Here is a 16763-nt window from a genome sequence, read left to right as displayed (position 1 = left end):
TTCACATACATGTCACCTAGTAAGAGCTGTAGCCATGGGAGAGTGGCCACAGATAGAGAAATGAGCCATGAGTGAAACAACAAAGACCTGAGTGGGTCTCTTCTCTCACCTCCAGTCTCCTATTAGTGCCTCCCTTTGGCAAAACCCACTGGAAGCTACAGGCAAAGGAGTTTATGTGATGCAGTCCATAGAGGTGATAGAACAGAGAGGGGAAGGCAGAGAAGGGGCGAATAGACAACATCCAACAGACTCCCTGAGTCACTGCCTAGAGGAGGGCTGTCAAGGAAAGTAGCCTGACCAGTAACACCAGCATTAGTCTTAGTGTGTGTAAAGTGTTACCTGCTAAGCCTCTAAGACTTAGAGATTGTTTGTTCCAAAAGTTAACCTGCCTTAAATATAACTGGTCTATTTAGATTTTCGCATTATCCTTTTTGTATCCAAATTGGTTTTCCAAAAACTATCAGGGGAAATAAATAATAATCCCCTAAAAACGTAAATATGTGAATTTTAGCAAGATTGTTTAGATAAATTGTTAATAATTCTACTTTGAAATTGTAGCTACTTATTCTGCCTGTAGATATTTGAAAGAGCTGCTGTTTACAATGGCAGCTCAAAAGTGAGGGCACTGTGTGTGGGAGATCGGAGTAGGGGGAATGAGAAAAGTCTTTTTTATTCAAAAATGCAAACATAAGGAGTAGAAAATATTATGGGAAAATAATTAAATGAATATGATGGAAAAACTTTTCAAGACTTCACTCTTCCATTTCAACTGGCCTCCTTCTTTTTAGTCCACTCTCCATCCTCTTTCCTCAATGGAAATGCCTGTTACTCTGAAGCTAGCCCCTACTATCTTGAAAACAGGTTCTTTACACCTTCCTCCATCCCTGCTGTGCTCCAGACCCGAAGCCTTTCTTCCTCATCTTATGTTGACACATTGTCCCTATGCCTTGCTACATGAGTGGTTAGCTATTTTTATAACTTTATTCATCATCTATTAAAAAGATTGGGTACCACCTAGGCAACACCATTTTGAACATAGGAACGGACAAAAATTTTATGACAAAGATGCCAAAAGCAATTGCAGCAAAAGGAAAAATTGACAAATGAGATTTAATTAAACTAAAGAGCTTCTGCACAGCAAACGAAACTATCAATAGAATAAACAGAAAACCTGCAGAATGAGAGAAAAGTTTTGCAAACTATGCATCCAACAAAGGTCTAATATCCAGCATCTTACAAGGAACTGAAACAAATTTACAAGAAAAAAAAACAAAAACAACCCCATTAAAAAGTGGGCAGGTGACATGAATAGACACTTTTATTTATTTATTTATTTATTTATTTATTTATTTATTATTTTTTGAGATGGAGTTTCGCTCTTCTTGCCCAGGCTGGAGTGCAATGGCATGGTCTTGGCTCACTGCAACCTCCACCTCCCAGGTTCAAGCGATTCTTCTGTCTCAGCCTCCCAAGTAGCTGGGATTACAGGTGCCCACCACCATTCCCAGCTAATTTTTGTATATTTAGTAGAGACAGGGTTTCACCATGTTGCCAGGCTGGTCTCGAACTCCTGACCTCAGGAAATCCACTCGCCTCGGCCTCCCAAACTGCTGGGATTACAGGCGTGAGCCATCACACCCCGCCTAACAGACACTTTTCAAAAGAAGACATACATGTGGCCAACAAGCATATGAAAACAAGTTCAACATCACTGATCATTACAGAAATGCAAATCGAAACCACAATGAGTTACAATCTCACACCAGTCAGAATGGCTATCATTAAAAAAAGGCCAGGCATGGTGGCTTACGCCTGTAATCCCAGCACTTTGGGAGGCTGAGATGGGTGGATCACCTGAAGCCAGGAGTTCGAGACCCGCCTGACCAACGTGGTGAAACCCCATCTCTACTAAAAATACAAAAATTAGCCGGATGTGGTAGTGGGCGCCTGTAGTCCCAGCTACTCAGGAGGCTGAGGCAGGAGAATGGCTTGAACCCGGGAGGCAGAGATTGCAGTGACCTGAGATCACGTCATTGCACTCCAGCCTGGGCGACAGAGTGAGACTGTCTCAAAAAAAAAAAAAAAAAAAAAAAAAGTCAAAAAATTAACAAATCCTCATCCTGAAACCAAAACCTGGCAGAGATACAAAAAAGAAAAAGAAAACTTTAACCCCAAATCCTTGGTGAACACTGATGCAAAAATCCTCAACAAAATACTGGCAAACTGAAATTAGCAGCACATGAAAAAGCTTATCCACCATGATCAAGTAGGCTTTAACCCTGAGATGCAAGGTTAGTTCAACAAACACAAATCAATAAATATGATTCATCACATAAACAGAACTGAAGACAAAAACCACATGATTATCCCAATAAATGCAAAAAAAAGGCTTTTGGTAAAATTCAACATGGCTTCATGTTTAAAACTCTCTGTAAAATAAGTACTGAAGGAGCATACCTCAAAATAATAAGAGCCATCTATGACAAACCCACAGCCAACATCACACTGAATGGGCAAAAGCTAGAACCATTCCCCTTGAGAACTCGCACAAGGTAAGGATGTCCTCCTATTCAACATAATATTGGAAGTTCTGTCCAGGGCAATCAGGGAAGAAAATAAAATAAAGGCATCCAGGTAGGAAGAGAGGAAGTCAAACTATCCCTGTTTGCAGATGACATGATCCTATGTCTAGAAAACCCTGTAGTCTCACCCAAAGCCTCTTAAGCTGATAGACAACTTCAGCGAAGTCTCAGAATACAAAATCAATGTGTAAAAATTACTAGCATTCCTATACACCAACAACAGTCAAGCCGGGAGCCAAATTAGGGACACAATCCCATTCACAGCTGCCACAAAAAGAATAAAATACCTAGGAATACAGCTAACTAGGGCGGGAAAAGATCTCTACAAGGAGAACTCCAAAACATTCTCAAATAAATTAGAGATTAACACAAACAAATGGAAAAGCATTTCATACTCATGAATAGAAAGAATCAATATAAAAATGGCCATACTGCACAAAGCAATTTATAGATTCACTGCTATTTCTATTAAACTACCACTGGGATTCTTCACAGGACTGGAAAAAACTTTTAAAATTCATATGGGGCTGGGCACGGTGGCTCATGCCTGTGATCACAGCACTTTGGGAGGCCGAGGCAGAAGGATCACTTGAGGTCAGAAGTTAGAGACCAGCTTGGCCAACATGATGAAACCCTGTCTCTACTAAAATACAAAAATTAGCTGAGTGTGGTAGTGGGCGACTGTAATTCCAGCTACTTGGGAGGCTGAGGCAGGAGAATCACTTGAACCCAAGAGGCGGAGGTTGCAGTGAGCTGAGACGGCGGTGAGCTGAGATCACACCACTGCACTCCAGCTAGGGCAACAGAGTGAGACTCCGTCTCAAAAAAAAAAAAAAAAAAAAAAAATCATATGGAACCAAAAAAAGAGCCCAAATAACCAAGGCAATCCTAAACAAAAAGAACAAAGGTGGAGGCATCACACTACCTGACTTGAAACTATGCCACAACAGGGCTACAGTAATCAAAATAGCATGGAATTGGTACAAAAACAGATACATAGACCAATGGAACAGAATAGAGAACCCAGAAATAAGGCTGCACACCTACAACTATCTGATCTTCAACAAACCAGACAAAAACAAGCAATGGGGGAAGGATTCCCTATTCAATAAATGGTGCTGGGATTAACTGGCTAGCCATATGCATAAGATTGAAACGGGATCCCTTCCTTATACCATAAATAAAAATTAACCCGAGATGGATTAAAGACTTAAATGTAAAACCCAAAACTGTAAAAACCCTAGAAGACAATCTAGGCAATACCACTCAGGACATAGGCATAGGCAAAGATTTCATTATGAAGATGCCTAAAGCAATTGTAACAAAAGTAAAAATTGACAAATGGGATCTAATTAAACCACAGAGCTTCTTCACAGCAAAGGAAACTGTCAACAGAGTAAGCAGACAACCTACAGAATGTGAGAACATTTTTGCAAACTATGCATTTCACAAAGGTCTATTATTAAGCATCTATAAGGAACTTAAACAAATTTACAAGAAAAAGACAAACAACCCCATTAAAAAGTGGGGAAAGTACATGAACAGACATTTTTCAAAAGAAGCTACATGCAGCCAACAAACGTGAAAGAAAACTCAACATCACTGATTAGAAAAATGCAAGTCAAAACCACAATGGGATACCATCTCACACCAATCAGAATAGCTACTATTTAAAAGTCAAAAAATAAGAGATGCTGGAGAGGTTTAGAGAAAAAGGAATGTTTATACACTGTTGGTGGGAGTGTAAATTAGTTCAGCCATTGTGGAAGACACTGTGGCAAATCCTCAAAGACCTAAAAATAGAAATGCTATTTGACCCAGCAATCCCATTACTGGGTATATACCCAAAGGAAAATAAGTTGTTCTATTATAAAGACACATGTATTCATGTGTTAATTACACACTATTTACAATAGCAAAGACATGGAATTAACCTAAAAGTCCATCAATGATAGATTGGATTAAAAAAAAGTGGTACAGGCTGACTCTCTTTTCAGACTCAGCCCGCCTGCACCCAGGTGAAATAAACGGCCATGTTGCTCATACAAAGCCTGTTTGGTGGTCTCTTCACACAGACATGCATGAAATTTGGTGCCATGACTTGGATCAGGGGACCTCCCTTGGGAGATCAATCCCATGTCCTCCTGTTCTTTGCTCCATGAAAATGATCCACTTACAACCTCAGGTCCTCAGACCCACCAGCCCAAGGAACATCTCACCAATTTTAAATCTGACTCAGCCGGCCTGCACCCATGTGAAAGAAACAGCTTTATTGCTCACACAAAGCCTGTTTGGTGGTCTCTTCACACGGACGCACATGAAAACTGGAGTCCTCACGCCCACCAGCCCAGAGTGCTCTCTAGAGGAAGCCTACAGACACTTCCTGGCTCACTCCTCCAGACGTTAGCTGTCTTGCTGAAACTCCTTTTTTCACCCTTGAAAACCACTGCAAGAATGGCCAAGAACCCAGCTATCCTGAGGCTGTGACCATCTATGACAAGCCGGCATCTTTCTTTCAAGAGACACCTCTGGACCTGCAGCACCGACTCTTCATGAAGCTGGGCAGCACGCACTCTCCGTTCAGGGCCCGCTCAGAACCTGAGGACCCAGCCAGGAGCGGTCGGCCTTCATGAAGCGGGATGCTGGGAGCGGGCTGGTGATGCGTCTCCATGAGCGGCCAGCCCTGCTGGTCAGCAGCACAGGCTGGACAGGTCTGCACGACCCATGGAACACTTGAGAGGACGAAGACTTCTCCATCCTGCTGGCAGCTTTAGAAAAGTTTGAGCAACTGACTCTTGACGAACACAACCTTCCTTCTCTCGTCTGTGTGATAACAGGCAAATGGCCTCTGAGGGAGTATTACAGCCACCTCATCCACCAGAAGCATTTCCAGCACATCCAGGTCTGCACCCCCTGGCTGGAGGCCGAGGACTACCCCCTGCTTCTAGGGTCGGTGGACCTGGGTGTCTGTCTGCACACGTCCTCCAGTGGCCTGGACCTGCCCATGAAGGTGGTGGACATGTTCGGGTGCTGTTTGCCTGTGTGTGCTGTGAACTTCAAGTGTTTACATGAGCTGGTGAAACATGAAGAAAACAGCTTGGTCTTTGAGGACTCAGAGGAACTGGCAGCTCAGCTGCAGATGCTTTTCTCAAACTTTCCTGATCCTGAGGGCAAGCTAAACCAGTTCCGGAAGAACCTGCGGGAGTCGCAGCAGCTCCGATGGGATGAGAGCTGGGTGCAGACTGTGCTTCCTTTGGTTATGGACACATAAATCCTGGGCCAGAGACTAAAACCCCAGGACCCCTGCTGTCCTTCCCGCAGCTTCTTCTCGGAGTCTCAGGGCAAACCCTTTCGAGCAGCGCCTCCCAGTGGCCAGAAGCTGAAATGACAGCAGTGGTGCCGCCGGGTGAATGAATTGGTTCTGTGACCCGGGGAAAAGAAAAAAAAAAAAAAGTGGTACATACACACTGTGGAATAGTATGCAGACCTAAAAAAGAACAAGATCATGTCTTTTGCAGGAACATGAATGGAGCTGGAGGCCATTATCCTCAGCAAACTGAAACAAGAACAGAAAACCAAGTAATATATGTTCTCGCTTATAAGTGGGAATAAATGATGAGAATACATGGACATATAGAGCGGAACAACACACACTAGGGCCTGTTGGAGAGTGAAGGGTAGGAGGAGTGAGAGGATCAGGAAAAATAACTAATGGGTACTAGGCTTAATACCTGGGTGACAAAATAATCTGTGCAACAAACCCCCATGACACAAGTTTACCTATATAACAAACCTACACATGTACCCCTGAACTTAAAATTTAATAAAATAAAATAACAGATGCTGGCAAAGTTGCAGAGAAAAGGAAACACTTATATACTGTTGGTGGGAATATAAGTTAGTTTAAGTATTGCAGAAAGCAGTGTAGCAATTCCTTGAAGAGCTAAAAAGAGGACTACCATTCAACTCAGCAATCCCATTACTGGGTATATACCCACAGGAATATAAATCATTCCATAACAAAGACACGTGCATGCGTATGTTTACTGCATCACTACTCACAACAGCAAAGACATGGAATCAACCTAAATGCCCATCAATGATAGACTGGATAAAGAAAATGTGGTACATATATACCACTGACTACTACGTGGCCATAAAAAAGGACTACATCATGTCTTTTGCAGGAACATGGATGGAGTTGGAGACCATTAACCTTAGCAAATTAACACAGGAACAGAAAACCAAATACTGCATGCTCTTACTTACAAGTGGGAGCTAAATGATGAGAACTCATGGACAAAAATAAGGGAACAACAGACACTGGGGCCTCCTTGAAGGTGGAGGGTGAAAGGAGGGAGAAGAGCAGAAAAAGTAACTATTGTGTACTAGGCTTAGTACCTGGGTGATGAAACAATCTGTACAACAAGCCCCTGCAACATGAGTTTACCTATGTAACAAACCTGCACGCATGCCCCTGAACCTAAAAGTTTAAAAAAATTTCATATAAAAAGATTAGGTGCCAATTAAGTGCAAGTTATATTCTATATGTAAAGGCCACAAAGAAAGATGGATAGATGACAGATAGATGCATACCTAAATAGATTTCAAGTTCCCTTCGTGAAATAATTTATAATGTAGAGGTAGACCCAGGAGAGGAAAGTAAATAAGCCTAGTATGCGGCAGAAAATGGTCAGTGACATGAAAGAGTCACAGATAAAGTCCTACAATGCTTCATTTTTTAAAAAAGGAAGCGGGAAACAAAAAACAAACAAAAACAATCCCAAAACAAACAGAAGAGGATGGGAAGCTGACACTTACCATGCTCCAAGTAGTAGGTTAGGTGGAGTGCAAACGTTAGTCTTCCTTTCATATTGTGTCCCGAATTGGTGGGTTCTTGGTCTCACTGACTTCAAGAATGAAGCCGCGGACCCTCGCAGTGAGTGTTACAGTTCTTAAAGGCGGCGTGTCTGGAGTTTGTTTCTCCTGACATTCGGATGTGTTCAGAGTTTATTCCTTCTGGTGGGTTTGTGGTCTCGCTGGCTCAGGAGTGAAGCTGCAGACCTTAGCGGTGAGTGTTACGGGCTCTTAAGGCAGCACGTCTGGAGTTGTTCGTTCCTCCCGGTAGGTTTGCGGTCTCGCTAGCTTCAGGAGTGAAGCTGCAGATCTTTGCAGTCGCTGTTATAGCTCAAAAAGGCAGTGTTGACCCAAAGAGTGAGCAGTAGCAAGATTCATTGCAAAGAGCAAATGAGCAAAGTGTCCACGGTGTAGAAAGCGACCCCAACACATTGCCGCTGCTAGCTCAGGCAGCCTGCTTTTATTCTCTTACCTGGCCCCACCCACATCCTGCTGATTGGTCCATTTTACAGAAAGCCGATTGGTCTGTTTCACACAGAGCTGATTGGTCCGTTTTGACAGGGTGCTGATTGGTGCGCTTACAATCCCTGAGCTAGACACAAAAGTTCTCCACATCCCCAATAGATTAGCTAGATACAGAGTGTGGACACAAAGGTTCTCCAAGTCCCCACCAGAGTAGCTAGATACAGAGTGTCAGTTGGTGCATTCACAAACCCTGAGCTAGACACAGGGTGCTGATTGGTGCATTCACAAACCTTGAGCTAGACACAGAGTGCCGATTGTTGTATTTACAATCCCTTAGCTAGACATAAAGGTTCTCCAAGTCCCCACCAGACTCAGGCGCCCAGCTGGCTTCACTCAGTGGATCTCCCACCGGGGCCGCAGGTGGAGCTGCCTGCTGTGCGCCGGCACTCCTCAGCCCTTGGGTGGTCGATGGGACTGGGCGCCGTGGAGCAGGGGGCAGCACTTGTCGGGGAGGCTCGGGCCACGCAGGAGCCCACAGTGGGGTTGGGGAGGCTCAGGCATGGTGGGCTGCAGGTCCCCAGCCCTGCCCCGCAGGGAGGCAGCTAAGGCCCAGCGAGAAATCAAGCACAGCAGCTGCTGGCCCAGGTGCTAAGCCCCTCACTGCCCCGGGGCTTGCAGGCCGGCTGGCCGCTCCGAGTGCCGGGCCCGCCGAGCCCACGCCCACCCGGAACTCGCGCTGGCCCACAAGCTCCGCGCGCGGCCCCGGTTCCCGCCCGCGCCTCTCCCTCCACACCTCCCCACAAGCTGTGGGAGCAGGCTCCGGCCTTGGCCAGCCCAGAAAGGGACTCCCACAGTGCAGCGGTGGGCTGAAGGGCTCCTCAAGCACGGCCAGAGTGGGCGCCAAGGCCGAGGAGGCACCGAGAGCGAGCGAGGGCTGCAGGGCTGCCAGCATGCTGTCACCTCTCAATATGGCTAGTTCTTTCTTGTCCTTCTGGAATTTGTTCAAGTGACACCTCACCCAGGAAGCCTTCCTTGATCTTAACTCGCCCTGCCTTTCCTCTATGCTGCCACAATCACAGCTTTATCACATCATAGTGTAATTGGTTTATTGCCTATCACCCCAAAAGATGGCAAGCACCTGGAGATGGGGAACAATGTCTCATCTTTGTGTATCTTCTATGTCTAACTTTGAGTCTGGTGTACATCAAGCCCTTAAGGAGGGAAGGGAGAAAGCAGAGAGGGAAAGGAATGAGGGAGGGAGAGAGGCAGGAAGGGATGAAGTGCTATTAGAGCATTCGAGGATAAAGGGAACGATGTGACTAGTGTGAAATCTAAAAAATAAGAGGTGAGTTTCAGAAATTGCAGGAGTGCTGTTGAATTGTGTTAAAAGGATATGGGCAGGAAGGTGGCAGGTGACAACTGTTGAACATAGAAAATGGAAAAGTGTTTTGAGAGTTTTGAATGTCAGACTATGACAGCTAAACTCATGCTGTAGATAGTGGAAAACCACTGGGATTTGATGAGCAGGGAAGAGATGAGATCAGAGCAGAGTTTTAAGGATATTAACCTGGCAGTGGGAATATCTTATCCTTTTTGAAAGTATATTCACTTTCTATCAGGAAATATCTTTGCCTTAATGCAAAGAATTAATCTCATGGGGTGGGTTTGAGCAGCCCTGGTAAACATCTCGTTTACCAAAAGAGCTCAATCCTGCATGTGTGTATGTCAGCCCTGAATAAAGTATCCTTTTTTTTTTCAAGCAGTTAATCTTTATACTACTCCCCAAGCCAGCAACTACATAATTTTGATGCAACACCTGAAACTAATTCTGAGCTGCTCCCCAAGGCCCAGTATGTAGTTACCAGCAAGTGCTCATCCACAGCAGGGAGTGTCACTAGCAACTTCTAAATGAGATTCTCTTACAAAGCAACATGTGCCAATAGAGAGTCATTGTTTGTTCACTAGAAATGACTTTTACATGATGCATTCATCCAAAGAGAAAATATTTTTCCATTTATGGGAAATATTTTAATAAGTAATTAAGTACAAAGAATAAAACAATACTACAAATTAGACCATCATCCTTTGACAATCATATATTATTCATTTTAACTGCCATAAGCCAGTTTCTGTAACAATACATGAGTACCAAATCAACAAGTGATAACTTCAAGCTATTTTGATGAAAATTGTATCTTAAAATTGTAAAGTTGTATAAGTAAATATTAACGTTAAACATGCAAGTTCAGTTGATATTTTGTTTTCAATGACATTTATTTTCTCTAATTTCCCAAACCTATTGCTGATCAAAAAAAAAAAAAAATCCAAAGAACACAAGTCTGACAAGACAGTATTACTAAGCCATGCTAAATGAAAGGAGATAATGGAGTCTTTGATATTACCCAAATGGACTTCTGGAATTATCTTTTTAGAGACTATATGTTCAATAATCAACAACTCAAAAAAGAAGAGGATTACCCTGATATTAAAATATTTTGAAGATAAAAGTAAACAAAGTCACTAGACATGAGCCATCTTTTAGCTTTTGTTAATAATCTCAAGGTAAATCATTGAGAATACTCAAGCTGAATGTATACCTGAATAAGATATTAACTCACGGATTCTCATTTTCCTATTGCTCCATACTTTGACAAAGCATTCTTTCTTTTCCAGTGTTCCTCCTTGGATCAAATGAAGGGCCAAAGAAAGCAGTTTCCCCATTCTTCATGCTGTGATATAGGCTCTCCTCTAACAATTCTAAGGGCTGTAGAAGTGCTGGGAGATGGATGTGTGAATAGATGCTTGCCCAGAAATTCCTGGGACTACCACTGGCTCTTCAATAAAGGGATCATTTTAAGCTTTGCTGAACCTTGAGGTAAACTCACTATTTAAATTATAGGAAGCTCATTCCCTTTGCCTGGTCTAGAATGATCATTCTTTTAAAAAAAATCAGTAAATAAGTTCCCAACAGACTTGTCCTGCTAAACTAGTCATCACACTTTCACTTTCTGCTCCCATGAGCCTCCAGGAATCTCTGCCCAGCTTTCTTAACTGAAATTCACAAGCATCAAGTTATCTTGAAGAGAGAGTTCTTTCTGATCCTGTCAGACTTCTAGAGTTAAATATACACATGCATTTTTTATTTATCGGCATTTCTATAAATTTTATTTTTCCACACATGTTCATATACACATAAATGTATATAGGTCATTTTCAAAGTTTCATATCTAGAAAAAGACTGAAAATATTTTATAACATTTTCACATGGAAATTAAATTCCAGGTAACTCTACATAATCAGAGGGCAAGTATCTATCACTCAATTTATCCTAAAAGAATCTTGCATTGTAATACTGCTCTAGGTAAACATCTGTTTTTTTGCTATTCATGTCTTCGCTGTATAATCTACTTAATAATTGCTTTGCCAACTCTTAATTCCCTTTGTTTTTCTTTTTCAAGCAGAAGGATGTTTTAAAACTCAGGTACTTTACCACATATTCTCCCCCAGGAAAATCTGTAGCAGATAGATTTGTAGACTTGCCTTCTCTCTGGGAGAAACTTTACTTCCATATGTGTTCAAGAAAAAAACTGAGTTTTGTTGACATCACAATTCCTTCAATATTCTCTGTATGTCACAGAGTCCTTTGAAACATGAATTATCTTCCAAACCCCCTGCTCCATGGGCTATAATTCTTACCTCAATCAGAGAAAAGCTGTGTATTTCAGAGATACATTAACAGAATGTAGAACAAAATGTCTCTCTTGGTCCCCACTAAGTGATTTTGTTTTAGGTAAATTTCTAGATCAGACATCCATGATATAAGAACGAGAACATTCACGAGCTAAATTTTTTGTCTTTTTTTTTTTTAATTGAGATGGTGTCTCTCTCTGTCACCCAGGCTGGAGTGCAGTGGTGCGATCTCGGCTCACTGCAACTTCCACCTCCCAGGTTTAAGTGATCCTCTCACCTCAGCCTCCTAAGTATCTGGGACTACAGGGATGCACTGCCACTCCTTGCTAATTTTTGTATTTTTAGTAGAGACAGGGTTTCACCATGTTGCCCAGGCTGGCCTTGAACTCCTGACCTCAAGTGATTCATCCACCTTGGTGTCCCAAAGTGGTGGGATTACAGGCGTGAGCCACCACACCCAGCCTTATCTATCATTTTAGATAACTGGCTCCTACCATATCCTCTACTACACAGTCCTTACACCAAAGTATTTTGAAATGCTTGAATAAAATAGTTTTTAATTTCAATAGTAAAAGGTATTCTGATTCATGCTAAATGCTATCTTACAGTACAAGATTTGATATACCATGCTAAGACTACACCACCAGAACCCAAATCCTCAATGTTACCTGAGAGTATTAGGCAGCTGCTGTAGGAGCATCCTGAAAGGGAATGTTGAACCACATCATCATTGCAGCTTCAAAGGACACATGTAAATCAAAACTCTGTCATCCAGAACAGTTGACACTGTGGTATTGTTAAGCTCACTGCTCACAAAAGCTGAGGTCAGTTGGATGCAATTATCTGTGGTGGAGACTCTTCCACAAACAATTTCACTGGTGTTCCTCTCTGGCCTCAGCAAAATAATGAGGCACTTAGGAGCAAATATACAACCCAACAAGCCATGGCTGGATGCCAAGATTGCAAATATTTCCACAGCCATTTTGAACTTGCCTTTGGTGCTCAAATAAACAGGGACAAAAGACATCCAAATGATGAAAAAGACAAGCATCCCAAAGGTGATGCATTTTCCTTCATAGTAATTATCTGGTAACTGGCGAGCCACAAAAGTTGTAAGAAAGCATAGCAAGGCTAAGAAGGCATCAATTCCAAACATCGAGTACAAAAACTCTATGGAAATTTCATTGCATCCCAGAATGATCTTTGTATTTTGAGATTCCATGTTCTTGTATACCATGGGAGGTTCCAATATCAAGTAGGCTGTACATATGCCAATCTCCGCTAGAACAGAGATTAGCACAATGATTTTCCGATAAAGGGGGTGCATGGATGTAAGTTGAGTTTTGGATTTGGAAATTCTGTAGGCTAAAAACAGTGAACTAGTCTTTCCAAGAAGGCAAGACAGGCAAAGAGAAAAGCCCAGTGCCAGAGTGACCTGGCCAGCCATGCAGGACCAGTTGTGTGGCTTGTCAATGAAAAGCATGGACGACAGCAGCATGATGATCAGAGAAACCTGAATGAGAAAGCCCAGCTGCCAGTCACTGGCGTTCACCAGGGGAGTGTGCCTGTGTATCACATACACAGCTGTGACTGCCAAGACCACAAATGCCCCAAAGACAGAAAGAATGACAAGTGTGAATCCCAGGGCCTCATCATAAGCAAGGTATTCCACCTCTTTCAGCACACACTCGCTCTTTTGTGCATTTGACCAATAGTCTTCACCACATTGTTCACACTCCCTTTCACCTATTGAACGAAGAACAGAGAATTGACTGTAAAGAAATCCAATTGTCCCCTTCCACTGTGAATATCCCAGAGCCCTCATAGTTCTAGAGTGGGGACTTGTTGAAAATCCCTTTGTATAGAATATATAATATCTCAAAAGAAATAGTGATAAAATGACCTTAGAGTGTACAGATAATGTTACAGATTGAGAATTATTTTCAGTTTTGGAAAGTCAGTCTCGCTTCTCAGTTTCAGGCTTTTCTGCATTGGCCTTTTCCAGTAACAAGCTTCTTTCTTACTACTCCAGTTAGCTAATTGAGAAGAGTGGTATGTATCCTCGTAAACCCAAAAACAATCCACAAATGAAAAAAAAAGTAAAAAAAAAAAAAATTAAAGCTACTGAGGCAAAACAATTGAGAGAATTGTAACAGGAATAAGGTTGATTAAAATACAAATGTTTTCTGTCTTTCATTCAATATCACCCTTATGAAAGAGAATTTTGTCTTTGCTTACTCAGAGCTTTTCCCTTCTTCACCCCCCAGATGCAGATTTGAAGGAATAGGTAGAGAGTAACTGAGGATAAGAAGGAAAACAAGGCTGGGTACAGTGGCCCAGGCCTGTAATCCCAGCACTTTGGGAGGCTGAGGTGGGTGGATCACTTGAGCCCAGGAGTTCGAGACCAGCCTGGGCAACATGGCAAAACCTTGTCTCTGCCAAATAATACAAAAAATCAGCCGGGAGTGATAGTGTGTGCCTGTAGTCCCAGTTACTTGGGAGGCTGAGGTGGGAGGATTACTTGAGCCCAGGAGGCTGAGTTTGCAGTGAGCCAAGATGGTGCCACTGCACTCCAGCCTGGGCGACAGTGCAAGACTCCGACTCAGAGGGAAGGGAAGGGGAGGGGAGGGGAGGGGAGGGGAGGGAAGGGAAGGGAAGGGAAGGGAAGGGAAGGGAAGGGGCATCAGTGGAGGAGGAGGGGGAGAAAGAGGAGGAGGAAGAAGAAGAAAACAAGGAAGAAGCAGAAGAAGGAGGAGGAGAAGAAGAAAGAGAAGAAGGAAGAATAAGAAGAAGGAGGAGGAGGAGGAAGCAGGAGGGGGGAGGAGGAGGAGGAAGGAGGAAGAAAGAGAAGAAGAAGGAGGGGGAGGAAGAGGAAGGAGGAGGAGAACGAGGAAGAAGAAGAAAGAGCAGGAGGAGAAGAAGAAAGAGAAGAAGGAAGAAGAAGGAGGAGGAGGAAGACAAGAAGGAGAGGAAGAAGAAGAAGAAGAAGAAGGAGGAGGAGGAGGGAGGAGGAAGGGGAGGAGGGAGAGGAGGAGGAAAAAGGAGGAAGGGAAGAAGAGGAGGAGGGGGAGAAGGAGGAGGAGGAGAAAGACAAAAGGAGAAAGAGAAGAAGATGGGTAAGGGGAAGGAGAAGGAAAAGAACCTACATGGTGCTTACTGAGAAGGTTTAGAGCATTTAGCTGGGTGGAGGCTCTAAGGGAGAATGTCAGAACATAAGAAAAGGCTATTTGATATGAGTTTATAGTAGACTGTGAAATTGATCTCTTTAATGTTCTTTGAAAGATGCAGGAAAGATTGCAATTCCTGTTTAATCACTTTTAACTGCTGTACTGGACTTCCCTGGATGTAACTCTATGCAGAGACTGGGCTGTGTAGGGTCCAAGGAGTTGTTCAGGTTACATAGTTCTTGTTTTCCATTTTGGGAAAATGATACATTCTCAATTTTTTTTTTTTTTTCCCGAGACGGAGTCTCGCTCTGTCGCTCAAGCTGGAGTGCAGTGGCGCCATCTCAGCTCAATGCAAGCTCCGCCTCTCGAGTTCACACCATTCTTCTGCCTCAGCCTCCCGAGTAGCTGGGACACAGGCGCCTGCCACCGCGCCCGGTAATTTTTTGTATTTTTTTAGTAGAGAACGGGGTTTCACCGTGTTAGCCAGGATGGTCTCAATCTCCTGACCTCGTGTCCGCCCTCCTCGGCCTCCTAAAGTGCTGGGATTACAGGCGTGAGCCACTGCGCCTGGCCCTCAAAATTCTTTTATAAAGAATTGCTTTGGGAGGCCGAGGCGGGTGGATCATGAGGTCAGGAGATCGAGACCATCCTGGCTAACAAGGTGAAACCCCGTCTCTACTAAAAATACAAAAAAAATTAGCCGGGCGCGGTGGCGGGCGCCTGTAGTCCCAGCTACTCGGGAGGCTGAGGCAGGAGAATGGCGTGAACCCGGGAAGCGGAGCTTGCAGTGAGCCGAGATTGCGCCACTGCAGTCCGCAGTCCCGCCTGGGCGACAGAGCGAGACTCCGTCTCAAAAAAAAAAAAAAAAAGAAAAGAATTGCTATTGAGGGCCATTTGACAAAAGACAAGTACACTTTGTGTTATCTTTAACAGAAGGTAGAGATAAAAATAAACCTGCTCCAACATGTTTCACAAGACCGAGCACACTAAACCCAATTAAAATTCTGGTCATAAAGAGCAGCAATTTGGCAGGCCATAGTGAAGAATTCATAGAGCAGTAGTTACAGAAATCATATGTCTTACAAACTTTGAGTACTTATGACCTTAAGCCAATTGCCTTTAGAGATGAAATTTTAGATCTTATAACTCCAAATTAGAGCTAATTCAATAAAACATAGTACTATAAGTCCCCTGTCTTCCAATTATGAATATAACTAGCATTTAATTTATTTCAGAAACAAATAATTTTAAATATTTTTTATGAATCCTACTCATATTTCACATTTCATATATTTTATTTTGCATTTTCCTCTATTAACTTCAAGGTTGTAGGTATTTTCCCAACTGTAGCAGCTTTAGAACTGAAACACAATACTATGTTTTTTTCACAGTGCACAAAACATCCAATAATTTGATGGATTTTAATTATTTTTGTTATAAGTTATTCATACCTATTTATAAAGAAGGCTCCTTAGGCCTTCTTTGCAAAAACATGTTTGATCTAATAGCATCCTCATATCAATGAAGAAATTACCATCTCAACCTGGTTTCCGTGACACGTGTCCATCAGCACATGGGATGGAGTCAAAGCAGCATATTGGTTCCCTCTGAACGAATCCCCTTCCGAGTCCCAGGAGGACACACATCAGTACACACTGAATGGGGAAGCTAGCAAAGACAAACATGATGTATTAACAAAGCCCTTTGTCTCTAGTACTCATGAGGCTGAGAAAGTTTCCATTTGAATTTCCATGGAAGCTTTGCGATTTCCTGGGAAACCCAGGATGCCTGAGTGAAGATAATGAACAAAGAAAATAACAACATGGAGAACGTAGAGAAGAATTTTGCTAAAGGAGAGTCTCGGTGTTAAGTCTAGAAATGCAAAGCTAATTCTAAGCCTCTTCTTTCTAACCTTGGGGATCCAGACCAGGCTCCATGCCTACAGGACTCTGGGGATGAGATCATTTGACAGGTCTGTTCCTGCTTGTGAAGGACCTATGAT

The 16763-nt window shown here is 42.9% G+C and overlaps 2 pseudogenes; one reads left to right on the top strand and one right to left on the bottom strand.

Moving 5' to 3' along the window:
• Window positions 5058-5879, top strand: ALG1L15P (ALG1 like 15, pseudogene; annotated as a pseudogene).
• Window positions 12361-16426, bottom strand: VN2R1P (vomeronasal 2 receptor 1 pseudogene; annotated as a pseudogene).

Source organism: Homo sapiens, chromosome 3 (genome assembly GCF_000001405.40).
Source record: "Homo sapiens chromosome 3, GRCh38.p14 Primary Assembly".
In the NCBI taxonomy this organism is placed as follows: domain Eukaryota; kingdom Metazoa; phylum Chordata; class Mammalia; order Primates; family Hominidae; genus Homo; species Homo sapiens.
This window is presented reverse-complemented; position numbering and strand designations above follow the sequence as displayed.